The sequence below is a fragment of the Homo sapiens genome, chromosome 13, assembly GCF_000001405.40.
Source record: "Homo sapiens chromosome 13, GRCh38.p14 Primary Assembly".
In the NCBI taxonomy this organism is placed as follows: Eukaryota; Metazoa; Chordata; class Mammalia; order Primates; family Hominidae; genus Homo; species Homo sapiens.
Window position 1 is genome coordinate 35,073,916 of NC_000013.11, and position 27,674 is coordinate 35,101,589.

At 33.9% G+C, this 27,674-nt stretch overlaps 1 protein-coding gene across 13 annotated transcripts in view; it reads left to right on the plus strand.

Annotated features, from left to right (window-relative positions):
- NBEA (neurobeachin) overlaps positions 1 to 27,674 on the plus strand; it is a 730,467-nt gene that overhangs the window by 131,646 nt on the left and 571,147 nt on the right. For 12 of the 13 annotated variants that reach the window (XM_047430271.1, NM_001385012.1, XM_006719803.4 and 9 more), the window contains one exon: positions 24,382 to 24,490. In XM_047430271.1, coding sequence (XP_047286227.1) covers positions 24,382 to 24,490 — 109 coding nt within the window. Of the gene's footprint in view, positions 1 to 22,080; positions 22,187 to 24,381; positions 24,491 to 27,674 lie in introns of all 13 variants that reach the window. The other variant, XM_011535046.2, reaches the window with a different exon arrangement.

A 27,674-nucleotide genomic window follows, 5' to 3' on the forward strand; every position in this document is an offset into this window, starting at 1 on the left:
TGGGTAACAGAGCAAGACTCTGTATCAAAAAACCACCCCAAATTATTGAAGGAATAATTTCATTTTCTAGAGTCTTCAAAGATGGATTTATTTTTGCTGGATAATTTTTGTGACTTTTTAAATTATGAAGGCCACTTATAGTTGTTTTATGTATGGACTTTCAAGTCAGACAAACATGGGTTCAAATCTTGAATTTAGTATTTATTACTAGTACAACTTTGTGTATGTGATTAATTTTTTGAGCATAACTCAAACTCTGAAGTAATATAGCTTTCGTATTTTGTGTCTAGAATGACTCAAGAAATTAAATAGAAACTTTATTTTCCTTTGAATTGGATGATTATGTAGACTGAGTACATATTCTTATTGAGTACATGTTATTGAGTACATACATCTTATTGAGTACATATTTTTCTTACATTGAGCTATGTTTTTAAGAACATGGGTAATTATGTAGGTGATACAAAATAAAACCTTCCTCATTGTGTGACCTAAGACAGTTTTGCTTTGAAAAAAAATTATGTTTTCTGGAACAAGGTATAAATTGAGTTTTGTATATCAAACAATTAAAAATACACCAGGAGAATAGTTTCATTAGAAACCAGTGTAATATATTGCGTAAGTGTTCTTTTGGTGGAAGACAAATTTGGGCTCAAATCCCTGTCCTGTTTTATACTGTCCGATGTTAGGTGATGGGATATTCATGGGTGTGTAGTAGTGGTACATGGCATTTATTGAATACATACTGTGTGCTAGTCACTTATTTTTAAAAAATAAATTTTATTGTGTATGTTTAAGGTATACAACATGATGTTATGGGATACATATAAATAGTAAAAAGGTTACTATAGTGAAGCAAATTAACATGTCTGTTGTCTCACATAGTTACCTATTTTTTGGGGGGAGGGAAGTGGCTAAAACGTACTAATTATGAATCACATACAAAATATAATTCTGTTACCTACAGTCCTCATGTTGTACATTAGATGTACTCGTTCAACCTACATATCTGGTACTTTATTTACTCTAACCTACATCTCCCCACTTCCAAGCCCTGTGTCCCTTTTCCCTGATAGCCACTGTTTTGTTTTTTATCTCTGTATATTTGAATTTTGCCAGTCATGTATTTTAGTGTAATTATTTGCTGATGAAGAAGAGAAAAATTGAATAACTTGTTCAAGATCACAGAGACATAAGTGGCAGAACCAGGGTTCTAATCCTGCAAGCCTGACTCTAGAGCTCTGACTCTAAACCACTGTGGACTACTCTGAGAATCACTTTTGCCAGCTGTGGAATGATTTTAATAAGTGCCAACTTTATCTGATTGTAATATGAATTAAAATAAGACATGTAAAGTATCTGTCATAGCGTCTGTACATAGCATCTGGCATTTAATGAGTTTTCTTTTTACTTTCTTCCGTGAGTTACTAGTCTATTGGTTAGATGCAACTTTTTAATTATTAAAACTTAGTTTTAATGTTATTGTAAACTATGATCATTTTTATAAAGTAGAAATTTCATGTGATAATTTAAATAAATTATCTTAAGTATATGAATATTTTTCTAGGAAAAGCATTTTTTAAAATTACAATAAATACAGTTTGTTTGCTAGAAGGATGGAATGTAAGAAATAAAAGTGTTTAGAGAATCCCATAAAGCATTTATGTCAACAGTCCTATCATATGAACAGTCCTCTTGTAATGTGAATATTTATGACTCATTAGTTTGTTTAGTGAACTTAAATCACAATTTATTTTTTAAGATTACCTTGCTAATTAATCAAAGTTATTCCAGTGATTAACTTGAATTTTACAGCCACTTTAATAATTAAGCAGCCCCTTAATAATTAAGTATTTCATTCTAATATTCTGATTAGCACTATTGTAATACATAAAGCAACAGAATTACCTGGAAAATTTAAATATTTCAGCGTCTAACTGCCTTAGCCAGATTTCCTCATACACTTAGAAGTGACATGAAAATCCTTTATCTGACCATGTTTCCTGATTTTTAATTCAGAAAAAATATCTATTATATACAGCGTTAAAATTTTATTACATACTCTTAATCCAACTTAATCTGACTTAAAAATAATATGTGATTGTTTTTAATAGGGAAAATAATTAAAATTAGTACCTGTTTATAATAATTGCTTATCTTATGGAGGTGGTGGTTCTTATATATAGAATATAATTATTAATTTAGTTTCCAAAAACATTTAAAATATTTGTATTAGGCTATAGTTTATACAGTTATATTTACTTAGGTTTTTCGGAAAGAATATACCACTGATATGTCTTAAGATTCATATCACTTTGTTTGCCTTTAAAAAAATTGCTAAATTGGTACTGAAAACATTTTGAAGTGATAGACACAAAAAAATACATTTGATGTACTTGCACTACTACTTTTAGAAGAGAAAAATGAAGTAATTTGGTTAGTGAGATTTAAGCAGAGTAAAATGAAATATATATTGAATTCACTATGCAAATGAATTTATAAGTAGTAAAAAGTAAAATACATTATTCTGTCTGAAACATCAGGAAACATTACATTTAATTTTCAAATAGCTTTTTCTTCTTTTTAAATTTAGCGACAGCCACTTTCAATGCTATACTACTTTGTGTTGTTTAGTTTTCAACACTTAATTTTTCTCTGTAAATTTTTCTTTGTCTTGTTACAAGGTTTATGCTTTTATCTTTGACCCTTCACTCCCTCTCTCTTGCTGTGGAAAAAAGGCACCTTTTTGGCAATAAGATTAACTACAAATTATTCCTTGCAGAAATTCTGGCGACCATGGACACATCTTCACTAAATTTGTTGCCTTAATTTTCTTCTAGTTTGCATTTCCACATTCTGTTGTCTTTAATTTTTCAGTCTTACTATCTTCTAACAGGAGTATTGTTATTTTACTCATGCCATAGATTTCATTTCTTTTAACTGTCTTACATTACCTTCCTTCATTTATTTTGATTTTATGACAGTCGTGCAGGTATAATGGCATCAGCCCAAAACTAAAATAAATATTATTTGCCTTTATAAAGAGTATTACCACATGCCATAATTCATCCTCAGAAACCCAGAATACTTTTAATAGATTGTAGCTATAATACTGATTGTCACAAGTGTTTAAACCCTCTTCTTTTTCCATCCAGGGGTGAGATGTGATGACCATAACATGTAATGAATGGAATTTTCAAGAAAAGATTTAGTAAAGCATACTAAGGAGATTCTAGCTAACTTAGTATTATAATTTTATTGGTTTTTGTTTCTAATTCTACTCAGATTTTTAGGTCCACAATCTTGTTACCTAGGCTGGTAACTTCCAGTGCTTATCTCTAGCTTGCCTTCAATTTAGGCTTATACACATAAACCATTGATGGAATATTTCCATGTGGAAAGTATCTCAAACTTAACATGACTCAAATAAAAATTCATAAACTTCTCATCTACCCAATTTCTATTGCTTTTGATTTTCTAATGTTACTGAGGAACATTGTCTCCAGGCAGTCTCTTAAATTAGAACCCCAAGAGAACTCATCAGTTACTTTCCTCCCTTTGAATAATTAAAATATTAGCTGTTCCTGTATTTCCCACATACAATCTATCATGATAAACTATTGATATTATTCCTTAAATACCTCACAAAGCTACCCTTTCCCCTCCATCCATATTGCTACTGCCTTAGTCTAGGTTCCCATTATTAATTACTTCAGCTAGTATATATCCAGTAATTGCTGTTGCCCTTTTCCAGTAATTTTCAATGGGTAGAAGAGTTATCTTTCTAAAATACAAATCTAATTATTTCACACCAGTGGTCATTCACTGGTTTCCTGTTGCCTCAGAACAAAGTCATTATCTGATTTGGTCATGCTTACTTATCTTCTCTAGTCACATTTCTTGATAGTCTTTCCAAACCCAAATTCCTATATATAGCAATAAGGACAAAGGGTGGAAAATGCTAGCAGGGACATTCTAGAACATGTATTTATGAATAAAAGGTGCTACAAATAGGGACGGCCTCAGCAACAGTGTATAGTTGGGAACATGGTTTTTCTGCAGTCCTTGGATTTATAATGTCAGTGAATTAGGGAGGAGATTTAACAGAATACTTCATTTAAGGTGTCTTGGAGTCTTACTACCTGCTTTATAAATAAAGGGGAAGGTTTCTGTGCGCTTAAATCTGGCTTTCAGCTTCAGAATAGAGATGGAGTGTCTGCTGTCATGCAAGTGGACAATAAGCAAAGCCATAGGTAATCTGTATACCAAATGACCCATTATTTGTTGGCCAATACCCTGTTTAACAGATCTTGTTTAATAATCAGCACAGAGAAACCTATCAGCATAGAACTTACATTATCCAGCATTTGCTAGTTATAGCTGTAGTAACAAACAACCTCAAAATCTGGTAGCCTCATAAAACAACAAAAGTTAATTGTTTTTTCATAACTGGTTGTGCTGTGTTCCCTGTGTCTTCTCATTCTGGGTCCTAAAAGATTAGCTGTGATATGGAATATGTTTTTCTTGTGTCAAAGAAGAGCAAGAATCTGAGTTAAACAATACAATTGCTCTTGTAGCTTCTGGTCAAATGAGATGAATGTCATATTCAATCTGCTAGCCGAAGAATGACCAACCAAGCCCAACTTCAATGAGGGGATTTGGTTGTAAAATATATGTCCTGGAAGTGGGGGTGGAAAGTAAGTCTTTGGCCATAGGCAAGGATTTATAATCTTCTTACTGAGATGGAAAAGTCGGTAATTGGGAATAATAATGCAATCTCCCATGGGACTTATGAAAAAGTATTACGGTGCACAGGAAGGAAACCCATATCCTGAAGACTTGAGGCAAGCCGACTTATAAAACTTTGAGAGGCCCAGGCGGGCGGATCACGAGGTCAAGAGATCGAGAGCATCCTGGCCAACATGGTGAAACCCTGTCTCTACTAAAAATATAAAAATTAGTGGGGTGTGGTGGCACGTGCCTGTAGTCCCAGCTACTTGGGAGGCTGAGGCAGGAGAATTGTTTGAACCCGGGAGGCGGAGGTTGCAGAGGGCCGAGATCGCACCACTGCACTCCAGCCTGGCAACAGAGCGAGATTGTGTCTTTAAAAACAAAAAACAAAAAACAAAACCTACTAGGAGGAATTCAGAAGAAAATTTTGGTAAAATTTAGGGTACAAAATGACCCTGTATGAAATAGCAGAATACCATAAGGCTGACATTGAGACAATACTATCAGAATTTAGAGATGATGGCCAAAGTCTATATTTTTGCCAGACATTGTAGAATATTCTGATATAAAATCAGGTGTGGGGGAAAAAACAAAGAATGTTTTTCTAATTCCTTTTGGTAACTTCTCGTTGAATTAAAAACTGTATATGTGCCTTCTTTTGGATTTACTGGAGAAAGTAAAAATTAAAAATGTAATGGTTACAAAAATACGGAAAACAAGGGAATGGGAATAGAACCATAAAGCAACTGTTAATATAAAGTAACAGGTTATATAACCTAGAGATACTATTAACTGTTAAAAGACAGAAACTCACATATTCATTCAATAAGCCAGAATCCAAATATGTAAGCTTTAAAGAGAAACTGTTTCATTTAAAACTAAATGGTAAAGAATATAGGTCTCAATTTTTGGTCTGCTGTAGTCTGGCAATTTTTTTCTTAGTATACCACTAATAAAAGTGTAGATAGTATACTAATAAAAATGTGGCTATTTTGTCCCATATAGAATGCATGGATGGTATCTTTTTACCTAAGAAAGCACATATTCCTCATTTGCTGGTTAGAATAAAATCATTTGTTAAGCTACACAGAAATAATAGAAAATAGTCCACCATGTTTGTTACATTTTATCTAGAAAGTAGGTTAGGTCACTCACTACTAAGCTATTCCAAAACGTTCCCTAAAATTTTACTTCTCATGGGATGTGGGCCCTTTTGCAACTATTCATTTTCACGTAATTCATGGTGGTTTTATACTTTTTCTATAGGAAGTGTCAAGACATACTGCATGGCTTGAATGATAAATTTTCTATAGTATAGGTACCCATACTAAAGACATAGTAGTAGTAGTAGATTATTATAATAGTAATATTACCTATTTCTGAAGTATGGGTACAGATGCTTGTTTCTTTCTGCACTGTGTAGTTTTTAGAACAACACAATTCTCCCTTTTCAATGGTTGCCTAATGCTGAGTTGGCACCTTCAAATTATTTTGTCAAGAGAGTATAGGGGTCATGTACCATATAAAATTAAAAAATTGTTTATTTCCATATCCAGAACATGCAGGTAACTTTTGTCCCTCCTAGTACAACTGTCGTACATATTATTTTAATTGATATCATTGAGGATCTCTCCCTTGGTGGCCTATGGGTGCCTATTAATGCATCCAGCATTTAGAAACAGGGAAGTCCTTTGCAGGATCATTTTGACATTACTTTACTGAGGATAGTAGTCAGGGACTTGAGTGGGGTCTTACGTATCTGATGGAAAAAGAAGATTCATACATTCTCTGACAAAGAGGTTATGAGCAAAACCTCTGCCTTTAATTATGTAATTTCTAGATATTCTTTATCAGAAAGTCCAAGCTGAAATTGGAGGGTAGGTTACAATAAGGCTCAGCTGGAAGAAGAAAATATTTTTGCCATGGAGAGGAGGGCATATAACCTTTGGGGCGGTAAAGCTGACTCATAGCAGTTTGGGTATTTGGTATGTATCCCTTGTAACTCAGCCAAGTACACTAGGTAGCACATCTTTAATATAGTTGAAGACCAGACTTAAATAGGTTTAGAAACATAAGGAGTTCTAGTAGATAAGCACTGTTAGGAAGCAAAGGGTAAAAAGTTTAGCACTAATTGGTTCCTGTGAAATCAATGTGGAAGTCAGGCATGAGACACATAAATTTATTTACTGCCAAATATTTTTACAGATGGAAATGAGATACAGGAGTTGGTACCTTTGGTATCTTATGTATAGTGAATAGGACCAGGTATGATCCCTTCCAGCAACTCTTGGTGGAGCTTTAATGAGGATCCAATGTCAGACCAAAGATGCTGGCATTCATCATCCCAAGTTTATCAGTAGGGCTTTTTATACCGCTAAAAGGTTTACCTTAACACAATGACTTTATGATTTAAAACATCGAATGAAATATGTATACATAAATGCTTCGTAGTATGGCTTGCTGCTGGAAGGCCTAGAGGGAAGTTTCATGTGCCTCACACTCAGCAATTCATGGGGGAATAGCAGGAGTCCTATTTTTCTGGTGGCTGTATATCTCATCAGGGTTATGAGCATCTGCCTATTAGAGCCTAATTTTTGTACAAATCCTAGCTATTTATTATTTTTGAATTCTATCTTGGCATTTTCTGTATTTGTGGTGAAAATATTGTTGAAGTTGATCTTCTTTAGACACTTCCTTTGCAATATCTTTATTAATGGGCAACCATACTCTGAATCTAGGTATTAAATTTTATATGACAGCTTTTGTGAATGGATTTACTTAGCTATCTTGATAAAATACATATATTATTTTTTGAACTTTTTTTCATAGAAACAAACAAATTCAATCTAAATATTTATTAATGGCTTTCAAGATGGGCAAGCTTTTTTTTTTTAAGTGCTTATCTCCATTTTGCAACAGGCAAATATGGCAGGAATGACAATATGTGTGAGGCATTTGAGAAAACAGTTTGGAGGATATTAACAATGTTTGTTTGCATAACTTTTTATTTTTTACCTTTTATGCCAACTCATTTGCAAAGAACAGAAGATTTTTTATATAATCTAACAGCAATTTGTGGAGTATAAAAAAGTGAATCTTGTTTTTAAGAGTATTTTTTTCTTTTCTTCAAAATTTATTTTGTTGATTAAAAATACTTTGCGAAATTTATAGGTGTATGTGAATATTTGTTACATTCATAGAATGTGTAATGACCAAGTAAGGGTATTTGATCATCACCATCACCTTGAGTATTTATCATTTCCATTTTGGTAACTTTTTTTTTATTATACTTTAAGTTTTAGGGTACATGTGCACAAAGTGCAGGTTAGTTACATATGTATACATGTGCCATGTTGGTGTGCTGCACCCATTAACTCGTCATTTAACATTAGGTATATCTCCTAATGCTATCCCTCCCCACTTCCCCACCCCACAACAGGCCCCAGTGTGTGATGTTCCCCTTCCTGTTTCCATGTTTTCTCATTGTTCATTTCCCACCTATGAGTGAGAACATGCGGTGTTTGGTTTTTTTGTCCCTGAGATAGTTAGCTGAGAATGATGGTTTCCAGCTTCATCCATGTCCCTACAAAGGACATGAACTCATTATTTTTTATGGCTGTATAGTATTCCATGGTGTATATGTGCCACATTTTCTTAATCCAGTCTATCATTGTTGGACATTTGGGTTGGTTCCAAGTCTTTGCTATTGTGAATAGTGCCTCAATAAACATATGTGTGCATGTGTCTTTATAGCAGTATGTTTTATAATCCCTTGGATATATACCCAGTAATGGGATGGCTGAGTCAAATGATATTTCTAGTTCTAGATCCCTGAGGAATCGCCACACTGACTTCCACAATGGTTGAACTAGTTTACAGTCCCACCAACAGTGTAAAAGTGTTCCTATTTCTCCACATCTTCTGCAGCACCTGTTGTTTCTTGACTTTTTAATGATCGCCATTCTAACTGGTATGAGATGGTGTCTCATTGTGGTTTTGATTTGCATTTCTCTGATGGCCAGTGATGATGAGCATTTTTTCGTGTGTCTTTTGCCTGCAAAAATGTCTTCTTTTCAGAAGTGTCTGTTCATATACTTCTCCCACTTTTTGATGGGGTTGTTTGTTTTTTTCTTGTAAATTTGTTTGAGTTCATTGTAGATTCTGGACATTAGCCCTTTGTCAGATGAGTAGATTGCAAAAATTTTCTCCCATTCTGTAGGTGGCCTGTTCACTCTGATGGTAGTTTCTTTTGCTGTGCAGAAGCTCTTTAGTTTAATTAGATCCCATTTGTCAATTTTGGCTTTTGTTGCCATTGCTTTTGGTGTTTTAGTCATGAAGTCCTTGCCCATGCCTCTGTCCTGAATGGTATTGCCTAGGTTTTCTTCTAGGGTTTTTATGGTTTTAGGTCTAACATTTAAGTCTTTAATCCATCTTGAATTAATTTTTATGTAAGATGTAAGGAAGGGATCCAGTTTCAGCTCTGTACATATGGCTAGCCAGTTTTCCCAGCACCATTTATTAAATAGGGAATCCTTTCCCATTTCTTGTTTTTGTCAGGTTTGACAAAGATCAGATAGTTGTGGATATGTGGCCTTATTTCTGAGGACTCTGTTCTGTTCCATTGGTCTATATCTCTGTTTTGGTACCAGTACCATGCTGTTTTGCTTACTGTAGCCTTGTAGTATAGTTTGAAGTCAGGTAGCGTGATGCCTCCAGGGTCGGGTTACCCACAAAGGGAAGCCCATCAGACTAACAGCTGATCTCTCCGCAGAAACTCTACAAGCCAGAAGAGAGTGGGGGCCAATATTCAAAATTCCTAAACAAAAGAATTTTCAACCCAGAACTTCATATCCAGCCAAACTAAGCTTCATAATTGAAGGAGTAATAAAATCCTTACAGACAAGCAAATGCTGAGAGATTTTGTCACCACCAGGCCTGCCCTAAAAGAGCTCCTGAAGGAAGCACTCAACATGGAAAGGAACAACTGGTACCAGCCACTGCAAAAACATGCCAAATTGTAAAGACCACCAAGGCTAGGAAGAAACTGCATCAACTAATGGGCAAAATAACCAGCTAACATCATAATGACAGGATCAAATTGATACATAACAATATTAACCTTAAATGTAAATGGGGTAAATGCTCCAATTAAAAGACCCATCAGTGTGCTGTATTCAGGAAACCCATCTCATGTGCAGAGACACACATAGGCTTAAAATAAAGGGATGGAGGAAGATCTACCAAGCAAACAGAAAACAAAAAAAGGCGGAGATTGTGATCCTAGTCTCTGATAAAACAGATTTAAACCAAGAAAGATCAAAAGAGACAAAGAAGGCCATTACATAATGGTAAAGGGATCAATTCAACAAGAAGAGCTAACTGTCCTAAATATAGATGCACCCAATACAGGAGCACCCAGATTCATAAAGCAAGTCCTTAGAGACCTAGAAAGAGACTTAGACTGCCACACAATAATAATGGGAGACTTTAACACCCCACTGTCAACATTAGACAGATCAACGAGACAGAAAGTTAACAAGGATATCCAGGAACTGAACTCAGCTCTGCACCAAGCGGACCTAATAGACATCTACAGAACTCTCCACCCCAGATCAGCAGACTATACATTCTTTTCAGCACCACACCACACCTATTCCAAAATTGACCACATAGTTGTAAGTAAAGCACTCCTCAGCAAATGTAAAAGAACAGAAATTATAACAAACTGAAACTGTCTCTCAGACCACAGTGCAGTCAAACTAGAACTCAGGATTAAGAAACTCACTCAAAACCGCTCAACTACATGGAAACTGAACAACCTGCTCCTGAATGACTACTGGGTAAATAATGAAACGAAGGTATAAATAAAAATGTTCTTTGAAACCAACGAGGACAAAGACACAACATAGCAGAATCTCTGGGACACATTCAAAGCAGTGTGTAGAGGGAAATTTATAGCACTAAATGCCCATAAGAGTAAGCAGGAAAGATCTAAAATTGACACCCTAACATCACAATTAAAAGAACTAGAGAAGCAAGAGTAAACACATTCAAAAGCTAGCAGAAGGCAAGAAATAACTAAGATCAGAGCAGAACTAAAGGAAATAGAGACACAAAAAACCCTTCAAAAAATCAATGAATCCAGGAGCTGGTTTTTTGAAAATATCAACAAAATTGATAGACCGCTAGCAAGACTAATAAAGAAGAAAAGAGAGAAGAATCAAATAGATGCAATAAAAAATGATAAAGGGGATATCACCACCGATCCCACAGAAATACAATCTACCATCAGAGAATACTATAAACACCTCTATGCAAATAAACCAGAAAACCTAGAAGAAATGGATGAATTCCTCGACACATACACCCTCCCAAGACTAGCCCAGGAAGAAGTTGAATCTCTGAATAGACCAATAACAGGCTCTGAAATTGAGGCAATAATTAATAGCTTACCAACCAAAAAAAGTCCAGGACCAGATGGATTCACAGCCGAATTCTACCGGAGGTACAAGGAGGAGCTGGTACCATTCCTTCTGAAACTATTCCAATCAATAGAAAAAGAGGGAATCCTCCCTAACTCATTTTATGAGGCCAGCATCATCCTGATACCAAAGCCTGGCAGAGACACAACCAAAAAAGAGAATTTTAGACCAATATCCCTGATGAACATCGATGCAAAAATCCTCAATAAAATACAGGCAAACTGAATCCAGCAGCACATCAAAAAGCTTATCCACCACGATCAAGTTGGCTTCATCCCTGGGATGCAAGGCTGGTTCAACATATGCAAATCAATAAATGTAATCCAGCATATGAACAGAACCAATGACAAAAACCGCATGATTATCTCAATAGATGCAGAAAAGACCTTTGACAAAATTCAACAACCTTCATGCTAAAAACTCTTAATAAATTAGGTAATGATGGGACATATCTTAAAATAATAAGAGCTATTTATGACAAACCCACAGCCAATATCATACTGAATGGGCAAAAACTGGAATCATTCCCTTTGAAAACTGGCACAAGACAGAGATACCCTCTCTCACCACTCCTGTTGAACATAGTGTTGGAAGTTCTGGCCAGGGCAATCAGGCAGGAGAAGGAAATAAAGGGTATTCAATTAGGAAAAGAGAAAGTCAAATTGTCCCTGTTTGCAGATGACATGATTGTATATCTAGAAAACCCCATCATCTCAGCCCAAAATCTCCTTAAGCTGATAAGCAACTTCAGCGAAGTCTCAGGATACAAAATCAATGTGCAGAAATCACAAGCATTCTTATACACCAATAACAGACAAACAGCCAAATCATGAGTGAACTCCCATTCACAATTGCTTCAAAGAGAGTAAAATACCTAGGAATCCAACTTGCAAGGGACGTGAAGGACCTCTTCAAGGAGAACTACAAACCACTGCTCAATGAAATAAAAGAGGATACAAACAAATGGAAGAACATTCCATGCTCATGGGTAGGAAGAATCAATATCGTGAAAATGGCCATACTGCCCAAGGTAATTTATAGATTCAGTGCCATCCCCATCAAGCTACCAATGACTTTCTTCACAGAATTGTAAAAAACTACTTTAAAGTCCATATGGAACCAAAAAAGAGCCCGCATTGCCAAGTCAATCCTAAGCCGTTTTGGTAACATTTTAAGTCCTCTATTCCAGCTACTTTGAAATGTGCCCTACATTGTTGCAAACTATAGTCACTCTACACTGATATTAAACATGAGAACTTTGACCAACTATCTAACTGTATGTTTGTACCGACTAACTAACCTTTGTTTATTCCTCCTGCTACCCTGGTACCCTTCCCAGACTCTGTATCTATCTTTTTACTATCTGCCTCCATGTGATCAATTGTTTTAGTGCCCACATATGAGTGAGAATGTCTTTAGCCATTTGCCTGTTGATGGAAACTTAGGTTGATTTCATAGCTTTGCTTTTGTGAATAGCGCTGTGTTAAACATGTGAGTGCGTGTATCACTTTGATATACAGATTTCCTTTCCTTTGGATAAATACTCAGTAGCAGGATTGCTGGGTCGAATGGTAGTTCTATTTTAACTCTTTGAAACATCTCCACACTCTTTTCCATAGTGGTTGTATTAATTTACAGTGTGCAAAAGTTCCATTTTCTTTAGATCCTCACCAGCACCTGTTATTTTTTGTTCTACTTATAATAGCTGCTCTAACTGGGGTAAGTTGATGCCTCATTGTGGTTTAGATTTGCATTCCTCTTATGCTTAGTCATGTTGAATATTTTTTCATATACCTGTTGACAATTTCTGTGTCTTCTTTTGAGAGATGTATGTTCACGTCCTTAGCCCACTTTTTAATGGGGTTATTTTTTTTTTATTGTTGAGTTGTTTGAGTTCCTTGTATGTGCTGGATATTAGTCTCTTGTAGGATGAATAGTTAGCAGATATTTTCTCCAGTTCAAACACAAATTGTCTCTTCACTCTTTTGATTGTTTCCTTTGCTGTGTAGAAGCTTTTTAGTTTTATATAGTCTCATTTGTCTATTTTTATTATAGTTGTCTGTACTTTTGAGGTCTTAACCATGAAATATTTGTACTGAAACAATAAAACAACTAGAAAAAAACATGGTGAAAACACTTCAAGATATTGATCTAGGAAGAGATTTCATGTCTATATTTAAAAATTAAAATATTTATATTAAAATGCTTCCACTAAAGTTGGTACCTAATCTTATATAAGGAAATTTTAGAGTACACTCTGGAGAAGTCCAGTCAGCACAACATTAAAAGTATGAATTTGGAAGTGGAAGGGATTACAGCTTTGGCTGAAGCATGAGCCACTATTAACATCATCATACAGCTTTTGGTCAGCAATGAATTTTATAATAGTTACGGCAGAAGGAAGTTGTAAATGATGTAAGTCATAAAGTAGCATTAAAATAATATTCCAGAGAGATTTTTTTCAATAGTAGGCAAGGAATTCTTATTATATGATTGTGTAAAATCATGAACAGCTTCAGAACTGTAAAAGAAGTCATGGCATCTATCAACATTACAGCCCAAAAGTAGACATTTATGAAAGGCATGGATATATGCTCTAGAGAGAGCATCAACTTTAGACAATTTCAGACACTTGGACAGAATAGTCAGAAGGCAAAATAAAACGTTTTGTTACTTGATGTAGGAACAAATGGTATAACCAGAGAACCTTGTAGACTATATTTGACGTACATTAGAGATAAGATGAAGATTTTGAAGTAGGAGGTTTGTTAAACGATGTTGGTTTTCATCAAGTGGTCAAGTTTTCTATAGCTGGAGTTTGGAGTAAAGGGGTTGGTACGGGGCACCAATAGTAATGTAACACAGGGAAGAAGAAGACTTTATATTTTCCAGGCATTAGAAAGGTGCAGTGTTTTGGTATTTTGGATAGGTACTGAGGTATCACCTACCATAGTTAGTGTCAGACAGGAATCTATTACGGAGGTTGAAAAATCCTCCATTATTATTGCAGCCATAGCTACTGAATGCAATCCAAAAGGCAAGCAAGCTGCTATGAGATTAAGGGGAGAACTTCAGTGAGCAATTGGATATTGTTTGTTCTTTTGAATCTCCCTTAATGTACCCTAAATAATTCCATACTTCAAAAGAAAGGTAACAGGTTTAATATAATTAGGAAAACTCAATATAGGGACTTTGGACAGACGTTATTTAGGAAACTGATAAATCTTTTCAGTTTTCTGGTTCTGTGATGACAGCCTGCCAGTTTTTATGGTCGTTGAGCTATTGTAATATAATCCAATTTCCATGGTTAGCCATAGCCATGTGGATTTCTCAAACTATATGGTCTGGGGGTATCCCAGATAGCTTCTATTTAGGAAAATGCAAGGTGATGTTTTTAGTAGAACTTAGTAAAAATTTGGCTTTTCCAGTGTATTCTGGGTCAAGTTTATTGGAGTACTTGATATGAAAGATAACTAAGAATTAGATATTAGGCTGGTAGGGTCTCTGAAATACATAGTAGTATACAAACTTTTTTTAAAAAAAATCTAACCAAAACAGCATGGTACCGGTACCAAAACAGAGATATAGATCAATGGAACAGAACAGAGCCCTCAGAAATAACGCTGCATATCTACAACTATCTGATCTTTGACAAACCTGAGAAAAACAAGCAATGGGGAAAGGATTCCCTATTTAATAAATGGTGCTGGGAAAACTGGCTAGCCATATGTAGAAAGCTGAAACTGGATCCCTTCCTTACACCTTATACAAAAATTAATTCAAGATGGATTAAAGACTTAAATGTTAGACCTAAAACCATAAAAACCCTAGAAGAAAACCTAGGCATTACCATTCAGGACATAGGCATGGGCAAGGACTTCATGTCCAAAACACCAAAAGCAATGGCAACAAAAGACAAAATTGACAAATGGGATCTAATTAAACTAAAGAGCTTCTGCACAGCAAAAGAAACTACCATCAGAGTGAACAGGCAACCTACAAAATGGGAGAAAATTTTCGCAACCTACTCATCTGACAAAGGGCTAATATCCAGAATCTACAATGAACTCAAACAAATTTACAAGAAAAAAACAAACAACCCCATCAAAAAGTGGGCGAAGGACATGAACAGACACTTCTCAAAAGAAGACATTTATGCAGCCAAAAAACACATGAAAAAATGCTCATCATCACTGGCCATCAGAGAAATGCAAATCAAAACTGCAATGAGATACCATCTCACACCAGTTAGAATGGCAATCATTAAAAAGTCAGGAAACAACAGGTGCTGGAGAGGATGTGGAGAAATAGGAACACTTTTACACTGTTGGTGGGACTGTAAACTAGTTCAACCATTGTGGAAGTCAGTGTGGCGATTCCTCAGGGATCTAGAACTAGAAATACCATTTGACCCAGCCATCCCATTACTGGGTATATACCCAAAGGACTATAAATCATGCTGCTATAAAGACACATGCACACATATGTTTATTGCGGCATTATTCACAATAGCAAAGACTTGGAACCAACCCAAATGTCCAACAATGATAGACTGGATTAAGAAAATGTGGCACATATACACCATGGAATACTATGCAGCCATAAAAAATGATGAGTTCATGTCCTTTGTAGGGACATGGATGAAATTGGAGATCATCATTCTCAGTAAACTATCACAAGAACAAAAAACCAAACACCGCATATTCTCACTCATAGGTGGGAATTGAACAGTGAGATCACATGGACACAGGAAGGGGAATATCACACTCTGGGGACTGTTGTGGGGTGGGGGGAGGGGGGAGGGATAGCATTGGGAGATATACCTAATGCTAGATGACGAGTTAGTGGGTGCAGCGCACCAGAATGGCACATGTATACATATGTAACTAATGTGCATAATGTGCACATGTACCCTAAAACTTAAAGTATAATAAAATAAATAAATAAATAAATAAATAAATAAAAATCTGGCTGTATTAGTCAGTGTAGGTTATATGATATCAAATTAGCCATGAGACCTTAGTGGCTTTATACAGTAAAGGTTTATGTAGTGTTCCTGTAATCAAATATAGTTTCTTCAGCAATCTAAGGTATTGGGTTTCACCATCCTATTTCAGAGTAGCCCAGTATTCATTGTAGGAGGCGGGGAGAGGGACTAGAGAATTATGCATAGGTTTTTCATTGTTGCAACCCACAAGAGATTTCTGATAACATTTAGTTGATTTAGTCACATAATTAACTATAATGGGGTTAGGAAATGTCTTCTGTATACACACGAAGTAGGAAAATGACATGAGAATTATTAATAACAAACATTGTCTCTAGCATACTTGGTTTCTTAGCTGGTAAAATTAATGGGTTGCAATGGTTCTTGGTTAGAATTATAGGTTTTGGTGTGAAAGGATTTGACAACTATTAGGGATGTGGTGGCATAGCAGTATTAAACCTGACTTTAACTGATGTGATGCTATATGCCAATATCTGGGCATATTGAACAACTCTGTCTAATTAGTATGTTGAGATCAAGATGTGGGGACTCAGAAGGATTTTTTGAGTCATCTTAGTTTGGAGCTTCATTCAAGTCAGTAAGAATACAAAAAAATCAGTTCCAATTCTGGTTAAGGTAGAGTGAGCACACTCTACCCTGTTTCTCCTACTCAATGCAAGAAAAACACCCTACATGGACAGAATTCACACAGCCACTATTTCACAGCTCTGAAAAGTGAATAATAGCAGGTAGAATGGGGAACAAGAGCAGAATTCACAGTGCCTTTGAACTGGAAGTGAGTTCACTATACTTTTTGTCCCTTTATTATCCCCTAACATGAATTAAATGGATTGAAAACCTGAAATTGTGCACCAGGGTGCAGTGAGAGACAACTCTGGGAGAAATCCTCTAGTTCTGAGTGCCCTGTTAATTTTTCTTTTCTTCACGTTGTTCTGTTATGGCCCAGCCCTCATGTGGTCTTATCACCAATGGAAGGCTATAGAAGCCAAAACTCTGAGGGAGGCTTTTCTTTGATCAGTGGAGCTAGAGTCCTAAGAGGGTGGGACAAACACCCTTTTCTTCTTAATCTCTCTGCCTTTCTGCCAGTGGCCCTGGATATGAACAGACTTGTAGAATACATTGCAGAGCAGAGAAACTAAAGCCCCAGCGTTTTGACAGAAGAACTGAAAAGAAGAGCCTCAGAACTGAAAATATCAGGGATGTCATGGAAAGGGAAGAACATGAGAAAGTAACCCTGTAAAATTTTTTAATGAAATTCAGTCCTGAGTTGTGCATACATGGATCTAATCCAAATTACAAGTTGTAGCTGCTACAATAAGGTAAGAAAATGAAAGTCATACAGATTATAAAGGAAAAATAGAATTATCTGTTTTCACAGATGACATGATTGTCTATGTAAAAATTCTCAAGGAAATGACTTACACATAAATTCTAGCACTAGTAAGCCATGTTTAGCATACTAGTGTCACAAGATACAAGGTTCTCATACAAAAATGACTTGTATTTCTTTATATTAACAATGTACAATGTGAAACCACATTTAAAAATAACATTAACCACAGCATCAAAAATGTTAAATACTGAGATATAAATTTCACAAAACATGTACAGGATGTGTATGCTGAAAACTACAAATTTCTGATGATAGCAATCAAAGATCTGAATAAGTTTAGGGCTATATCATATTCATGGACTTAACATATAAAGATGTCATTAAATTGGTAGATACATGTAACATAATAACAATTAAAATCCTAGCTGAATATGTTCATTAATGTAGACAAGATGAGTCTAAAATTTATGTTGAATGACAAAGTAACTAGGATAGTTAAAACAGTTTTGGAAAAGAATAAAGTTGGAAGAATTATACTTAACTGACTTTAAGACTGACTTTTAAGCTGTAATAATGAAGACCGAGTAATATTAGTAAACACATATATCAGTGAAACAGAATAGAGTCCAGAAATAGTCCCACACATATATGGACAATTAATTTTTGGCAAAGGTGCAAAAGTAGTCTAATGGAGGAAGGATAATCATATGCCAAACAAATGTGCTTTGACCTAAACCTCACAATTTATATGAAACTTAACAAAAAACTAAGTCTAAATATAAAACATGAAACTCTAAAACTTTTATGGGAAACGTATAAGGAAATTTATGGGACTTAGGGTAGGCAAAGCTTTCTTAGTTGTGACGACGAAAGCATAATTCACTAAAAAAGGGATAAATTTCGTTTTGACTTTGTCTAAGTTAAAAACTTTTGCTATGCTAAAGATGCAATGAAAAGACACAGTACAGGCTGGAGGAAGATAACAGCAAATTGCTTATTTGACAAAGGATTTATGTCAAGAATAAATAAAGGACTTTCAGTCCTTAACAATAAGACTACAATTCAGTTTTTAAAAGTGGACAAAAGAGTAGACACTTTACCAAAGAGAATATAAGGATGTCAAAATAGTTCATGAAAAGATACTCAACATTATTAACCAACAGATAAATGTAAATTAAAACTATATAAAACCATTATATACCTAGTAGAATAAAAAATAGCTGTTGTGCTAAATACTGGCAAGGATGTGAGAACAACTAGAACCTGTTACTGGTGGGATTGCCAAATGGTTCAGCCAGTCTGAAATACAGTTTGGCAGTTTATTATAAAGTTAAATATACACTTATTGTATAGTTCAGCCTTTCTACTCCTCGGCATTTATTTATGAGAAATGAATGGAAATCATGTCCACACAAAAGCCTTTATGTGAATGTTTATAGTAGCCTTATTCACAATTGCTATTCTACAACCCAAATGCTTTTACAAATGAATGGGTATACAAGCTGTGGTACATCCATTAATACTCATCAACTAAAAAGAATGGACTCGATGTATGTACTTACTTGGATGCCTCTCAGAGGCAATATGCTGAGCTTACAAAGGGAGACTTAGAAGGCTACAGACTGTATGATTCCATCTATGTCACATTCTTGAAAAGTAAAAATATGTAGTGATAGAGAAAAGGGATAAGTACTAGAGCCTATGGGTATTGAGAAGGTGTGGCTATAAAGCTGAAAAGTGATAGCACAAGTGAATTTTTTGGTGTGATAGAACTGGGCTATATTTTGATTGTGGTGGTGGTTATACAAATCTATGTATCTATTTAACATTCTCAAACTGGTACACCAAAAAAAAAAAAAAGAGAAATTTCACTGCATGGTCATTTAAAAAATAAAATTAACTATTAAAAGAATAGAAAATTCCTGACCTGTGTAAAGCCTAAGTATTAAAGAATTGTTTCAACTTTGTGTATTCAGCTGTTTATCTGTTTATTTTCTTGCATTTGCGAATTCCAGCACTTCTAGTGTATGTTAATCCTATTTCTCTTAAATAGGTTGGGGCTTGGGTGAAAGTGGAGCCAGCACCAAGATAAAGGACTGGGCATTTGGCCTTCCTGCTGTGGCATGTTTTGACCTTGAAGGGCATTAGAGTATGCATAAATAGTTAAGATCATCCATGTGTAATTATGACCTGTTTCCAATTTAGAACTTAAGTTCTCCTTAGGGGTTAGGAAGTTACATTATTAAATTTCTAAAGCATTCATCTATCCATATTTACTATAGTGGTGGCTGCCATTTGTAAAACGTCCAGGACGTTTTCATAAAGTGACTACAACATTTAGTGCACTGTAAGGGGTGGTTTGTTAGTTGTGGTTAATCTGTGGTACTATTAGGCTTTGAAAGTTATTTCTTTTACCTTTGAAGGCTTTTAGTAAATATATGAAAGGAGCTTATAATAAAAAGGCATTTTGCTCTCAAACTATATAAATTTTGTTACATACTATATACTAATATATAGTAATATAAGAGATTTATAATGATTTTTTTACATATGAAAATTTTAACATTTTGTTTTCCTCAGAAGACAAATTGACACATTTCAAGCACTTTTTTATACTTCTTAAAACTATATTTGTCAAAAATAAAATACGCTATACAACATAAAATTAAAAATCTCTGACAAGACAAAGGAAGATATAAATGAGTAATAACCTCACTTTTAATAGAGTCTCTAAGGAATGCTCTTAAATATCCATGACAGTGGTAGCAATTCAGTTTATAAGGCTGCCTTGCCTTTTTATCAGGATGAAGAAAAAGGTAGAAATTACTGAGAAGAGATTTCATGGCTCCGGGCAGACTCAGTGATTTCATGTGCTATCTTATGTATCCATCTGTCCTTGTATTTTACTGTGTTGCATTTCACAGTTTTCCTTATTTCATTCTGCATTTACCGCCTATGTAGGCATTGGTCTTCTTTGAGATCACATCTTCATGAGGGCGTTGTCTAAAAGTGACTGCTAAATATACCTGGAGTTAGAAACATGTGGTTTAGCCCTTTCTAATGTTGAACTGTGAAGGAAATTTAACTCTTACAACTTATTGTGAGTTTTTTGTGTGTCACCGAAAATTATCTTGGATGCGAAATTGTCTTGGGTGTGGACTTGAATTGATTAACGTACAGTGAAATCAATTATTTCTGCTATGATCACTCTCATTTAGGAATAGTTTTGTAGTGAGAGAAATACTATAGAAATATGATATTAAATATTTTACATAATTTTAATCATCTTTTAAAATATTTCACTGTAATTCAGTCCTAAATTAGGCTTAAGAGATGAAACCTTTTAAAAATGTCAAAAGATTTTTCCCCCTTACTGATACCGTAAATCTGATTTGGAACTTAATCTACTTAATCAATTACTTTGCAACATTCTTTTAAAAGGGGTGGAGGTATTGGATTTTAGGGGGAATCTTTACTTTTTATGTAAGGTATTTCCAGTCTTCTTAATAAAAAGGTGTTTATTTAAAAAGCCAATCTAGCTGTGGTACTTAGCTTTTTCAGTAAAAACCAAATTGAATAGCCAGTTTATGTCTTCAGAGAGCTACCTTTGAACAGAACTTAGGTTTATATATTCACTCTTAATCATTTTAGTTATGAATTAGTTGTATCTTTATGATATATTGAATTCTAAATAATATAAGTACCTCAAAGATAATAAAACTTTATGGATCACATTACATGAGTTATCTACATTAGTTATTAAAAAAATTAAATACAAATTGAAATGGATAAAGTTACAGTAAAATAAGTCAAAATCTATATTTAAATTTTAATGGAATATAAATATATATATTTTATTATAAACAAATTAGTTATGTTTATACATAGTTAATAAATATTCTCAGGTATTTGTGGGCCAAGACTGTTGTGGTATTCTTTATCAATAAAGGCCAAAAAGCTCTGGAGAAGTAATAAATATGCTAATTTATAAGAGATATTATTATACTATTTCTTTCATTTTTTTCCCATGGTCTAGCCCTTTAAAATATGATACTTGAAATAAATGTTAGTTTCTAACTTAAATGAAGCTTATTAAGAATTACAAGGTGGTAATTATTTTTAAGAAAAAACACCCACTAGGTTATTAACATCATTTTCCTTAAAAAGATACAGGATTACAAACTCTTATCCATTCTTGAAGTAGAATTGCTACTTACAGAACATGTATTATGGTACTGTCTGTTGAAAAGTTTAGCAATTATATATCATGACATAATAATCAGCATACTTTTGGTCTATGAAGTAAAATACTCCTATGAAAATCTGTTCCTAGGTATTGCTATACTTTTCAAGAGAATTTTCTATGTTGTATTAGTTTTGGCTGACACAGATACTTGCTTTTTGGTTTATCCTATAGTATATATTTAGATCCTCTGCAGATGAACTGATGTGTTCTAGACAGGAAGTGGTATGTAGGAGATATAGGAATGGGCTGAAGTATCCTTTATATTTGCCTTTGTATCTAGGGGAGTTGGAAATAGGCAAGAATGGAGAGAAATTTTGTATGGCAGTACACAGAATTTTGCAAGTTTATTGTGAGCCCTGCAACAATCCGATGCATTTTAGTTACTGGTAAGTTTGTTAAATTATGTTTGAAAATGTACCTCTTCGAAGATGGCCATCTATTTACTATTACGTCCACCATGTCAATTATACCTTATTGTAAAGATTTTTTTTTTTTTTTGCAAAGATGTGGTATTGCTATTGCATTGGGTTTTAGGTATAAATTAAAACGACTTTTGTTAGTGAATGCATTTGACATTTCAATTGGTGTCCTGGTTAATATTGAAGTGAAATTAACACTTTATGGATAGCAGAGTCCTGTGTTAAGATTTTGGAATAATAATATTAATATTTCTGTTTTTGTAATGGAACTCCACTGTGTTTAGAGGTCTGAGTTAACTCATTAGATGTTTGAGAGTGAGTAGTTATTCTGACATAAAAGAATGAGAAAATCCATGTCATCCTTGCAATTTTACATGGTTCTATATAGTAGGGCGATTTACTGTAAGAAATACTTTTTTGCCTTTTTTCATGGATCATAGGGACCATTGTGAGGCATTTCTAGTCGTTCTTTTTGGCAGTGCTCATGCTTAGGAATCCATTTTCCCCCTAAATCACTAACTTTGGTGTATGTAAGAATTCTATGAACAGATTAGGAAATTGTGTAATCTCTACCCATAGTTTTCTTTATTCTTTTTAAATATCTAGGCAGAAGTGTTAGGTGTAATATAGTACTTAGCAATTATTCGTGAAGTGGCCTTGACTATTCAATTCATTTAAAATGGACTAGATTGCTTAACAGCTGTGCTTCTTTACAGAAACATTTTTTTAAATCCCAAGAGATTCCTTGGTAGTTGTATTTTTCTTGTAAGTGTCTGTCTTTGGCTTAAGGACAAAGTAAAAGAATATCATTGATTTGTGATAGTTTACTTTTTTTTGTGGTTTAAGGATATAGGATCAGTTAATATAATTGAATTTTAATTTCCTGTAATGAAGTACTTTATTTCTAGATACTATATTTTGTCTAGCTGGTATGTAATTCATTAAACTATGAATTTTTATAATAATGATAATGATAATTTTGCTGTTGGTTCTTGTTATGAGAACATTTCTAATTTGAACAAAAGTAGCCACATTATGAGAAAAATGTATTATCCCTATTGAAACTGGAAGAGCTAGAATAATTCAAAAATTAGAATAACTTCAGATTCCTTTTGGGCTTTAATAATTTTCAAGTTTTCCTTATTACCAGATTGTCTGAATCACTTGTAAGAATGAGTACTTCTGCATTTAAAATATGTTTAGAAATTTGTGGTTTTACCCTTTCTTATGAATATAAATAGGTAATTTATGGTATATTATAAAACATTGTAAATTGATACTATTTTAATTCATGATAAAATCTGGTCTATAACAATTTATTTTGAGCTACATTAAGCATATACAATGAAGGAATATGTATTTCCGTTATTTAGAATACTATATTCATGTATCAGTGTTGCTGGTTAAAATCATTATATGTAACTGTGAAGTAATGCATTATCAAAGCTTAATTCAATGCAATCATTTCTTTTTATTTTGTTTCTTCATTGATTCCAAAGACAAATCAAGTGCTTAACTTTGACACCTCTTTGTCTGCTTTTATGTATTTGTTTATATATTGTGTAATTGTCACTTTTCATTTCAATATTACATAAATCATTTTATTTGCTCTCATGAGCTTTTCTTAGGGCATACCTGGACATAAGTGACATGTTACATATTTCTCTGGATTTTTTTTAATGAAAGGTTTTTGAAGAATAGTTCTAAATGAAAAGTTTATTTAAAAATAGAGTTTGTTGTTACAAAGCAATATTGCATCTATATTTAAAATTCTCTACAATAGCTTGTTATTCAAAAGAATAGTATGATACAGGCTTTATTATGATACATTATAAATGATGTGTATATGTTTCTTAGGTTTACTTGAAGCCAGACATATAAATATACGTAGAGATAAACTTTGATGTTTTACTTTGGAATGTAAAAAAACTACACAGTTATGATTCAGTTTATTATATTTAATTTGTAAAGGACAACAGTAGTTTTCTCATGCTTATGAGGAAATATATTCTTTCATAATATAAGGCATAATAGTCATTGTCAGTAAAATAGAGATGAGATTTGAATATGGTTATCTTTTGGCATAATAAAATACTGAAGTGGGACACTGTTTATAATAAACATGTGATGATTACATAATGATGTCTGTACTTTACATGCAGTGCTACTCTGTTGGCATTCCTGGTTGAACTACTTAAAAGTTCAGTAGCCATGCAAGAACAGATGCTGGGTGGAAAAGGCTTTTTAGTCATTGGCTACTTACTTGAAAAGGTAAGTGATATGTGTTGATGGTTTTATTGTGTAGCTTCACAGTTGGACAGCTGTTAATCACTAATTTTTTTTTCTGTAATTTCACTTTCCATTGACTGTGTAGAGATTATACTATTTGCTAATTCACAAACGTCTTAGATTTAAGTGTAGACATGGAATTAACTGGGTATCGGAAGTGTAATTAAGAAATTTTGAATAAAAAAATCTAAATAAAAAATTTACATCTATATCTATTCAAGCAATAAGTATCATTTCTCTTAAGTTTTCTAAGTAGTACCCCCTTTATTTCTACTCTCACTTTCTAAGGTGTCACTTACCCATGGTCAACTGCAGTTCAAAAATAGCATGGAATAAACCATTTATAACTTTCTAAATTGTGTGCTGTTCTGAGGAGAGTGATGAAATCTCATGCTGTCCCTCTTCATCAAGCCCTGGACATGAATCCTCCTTTTGTTCAGCTTTTTCATGCTGTATACACTGTCTCTCCATTAGTTATTTAGTAGCTATCTCAGTTCTCGGACTGAAAATCGTATTTATTATCCACTAGGGGTCTTGGAACTATCGCGTCAGGATAAGGAGGGAGTACTGTAGTTGTTTCTTTGCTATCTTTTCACTTAGACTTTTTTTTTTTTTTTTTTGAGACAGTGTCTCACTCTGTCTCCCACAGTGGAGTGCAGTGGCATGATCTTGGCTCACTGCAACCCCCATCTCCTGAGTTCGATCAAGCGATTCTCCTGCCTCAGCCTCCCGAGTGTCTGGGATCACAGGCGCGCACCACCATGCCTGGCTAAAGTTTTTTTTTTTTTTTTTTGAGATGGAGTCTTGCTTTGTCACCCAGGCTGGAGTGCACTGGCTCAATCTCGGCTCACTGCAAGCTCCGCCTCCCAGGTTCACGCCATTCTCCTGCCTCAGCCTCCCAGGTAGCTGGAACTACAGGCGCCCACCACCATGCCCGGCTAATTTTTTGTATTTTTAGTAGAGACAGGGTTTCACCGTATTAGCCAGGATGGTCTTGAACTCCTGGCCTCAAGTGATCTGCCCGCCTTGGACTCCCAGCGTGCTGGGATTACAGGCATGAACCACCGCGCCTGGCCTTAGACTGTATCTCGAAAGTCTTTTTTATTAAGATAAAAATCTTAATCTATATTTAGTATACATGAATTTACCTGTTAAGTTTTGTGTTATTTTTTAATTATGCGGTCAAAATTTTTATTTTGTGGTAATAGAAACATTATTTTGTGCTCTTTTTCCCTGCTCTTAATATATATTATTTAAAGTAGTTTTTCTGATCTACGCATAATATAAACAATAAAAATTAGATGGGTTTACTTTTTCCCATTTTGTGTCATTTATGTTGTTTTATGACCTCTTTTGCTTTAGTCAAAGCTGTGCTTTTATGATGAGTGCTGAATTTCTGATTATGATCTCACAGGAGTTTAGTTGTATTATGTGATTTCCTTTGAAAATTAAAGTGGGATTTCATGAATAAGCGTTTTTTTATAACAAATACCTATGTCTTTTATTAGCACTCTCTGACCTTTTCTTATCAGTTAGTTAACTCTATAATATTCAGCTGCTCTGAAAATGAAACTGTTGGAGAAGTAATAGAAGTGAGATCTCAACTAAGGGATAAACATATTTCCTTTGCAAAAAAATTGAGAAGATATTTTGAAGTAGTTTTAATTTTACCTCCAATTGTTTTACATTTGAAATATTATCAATTGATTAATGGATAAACAAAATGTGGTATATACATCAATTGAATATTATTTAGTCACAAAAATAATCAAGTTCTAAAATATGCTATATTTTATATATTACATGTCTTTATACATATTGTGTATATAACATGTCTTTTCTTTGAAACAAGTGTTGACCTTTCTTTAAGGATTAATGATTGAAAAGTGGTAGATTGTTAAGTAGATTGATCATTGGTAGCATTTCTTTATTAAGATGATTTTTTCCATAACATTATTAAGAACTTAAGGTCCTTTGGCTTATTTTTTTGAATGACAGAATACTCTTTTTCTGTATCTAGAGTATAATATTTGTTTAGAAGATGTATGATAAGCTACATTTAACATGAATTTGATAACATATGAAATGCCTTTGTAAGATTACTGTGTGTGACAGGATTTCTGTGAGGACTTACCCCGTTAAATAATTTGCTTTCATTTGTTTGATGAGAATGTATCAGAAAATTCTAAAGTAAATATTCTTTTACTTAAAACTTAGCTTATAATTAGAAATATTTGTAAAAGCCTTCAAATAAAGACATATGTTAATATTTCAAATATTATAATGTCAATTTAGTGGATGCAAAATATTTCATTGTGGTTTTAATTTGCACTTTTCCTAGATTTCGAATAAGATTAGACATTTTCATATATAATTATAGAAAATTAATCTTTTATCTTCTTTGTTATTCATTTCCTTTACCAGTATTCCCTATGTCTCTTCATGATTCCCACCCCTAGTCAACCCATAATTCACTTTTTGGCTTTATGAATTGCTTATTCTAAATATTTCACATAAGTGAGATCATACAATATTTGTCTTTTTGTATTTGGTCCATTTTGCTTAGCATAATGTTTTCAGTGTGCATCCATGTTATAGCATATTTTAGAACTCCGTTCTTTTTTACAGCTAAATAGTATTCCATTAGATGTATATACATTTTGCTTCTCCATTCATCAGTTGATATACATTTGTGTTGTTTCTATCTTTTGGCTATTATGAATAAAGCTGCCATGAATGTTCATGTGCTAGGTTATATGTGGACATATGTTTTTATTTCTGTTCAGTAGATACCTAGGAGTTAATTTGCTGGGTCCTATGTTTATTTGAGAAACTATTGATGTTTTTCAAAGTGACTCCAGCATTTTACATCCTACCAACCATATTTAAGAGTTCCATTTTTTCCACATCCTTACCAACTCTTGTTTTGTATGTCTTTTTGATTCTGACCCTCCTAGTGGGTGTGAAATGGCTTATCAATTTTAAATTTGCATTTTTGGGATGACTAGTGATGCTGAATATCTTTTCATATGCTTGTTGTCTATTTTCATGTGCTTATTAGCTATTTATTGATATATATTCTTTGAAGAAATATCTTTAGATCCTTTGCCCATTTAATAATTGTGATATGTGTCTTATTATTGATTTGTAGGAGTTTTTTTTTAAT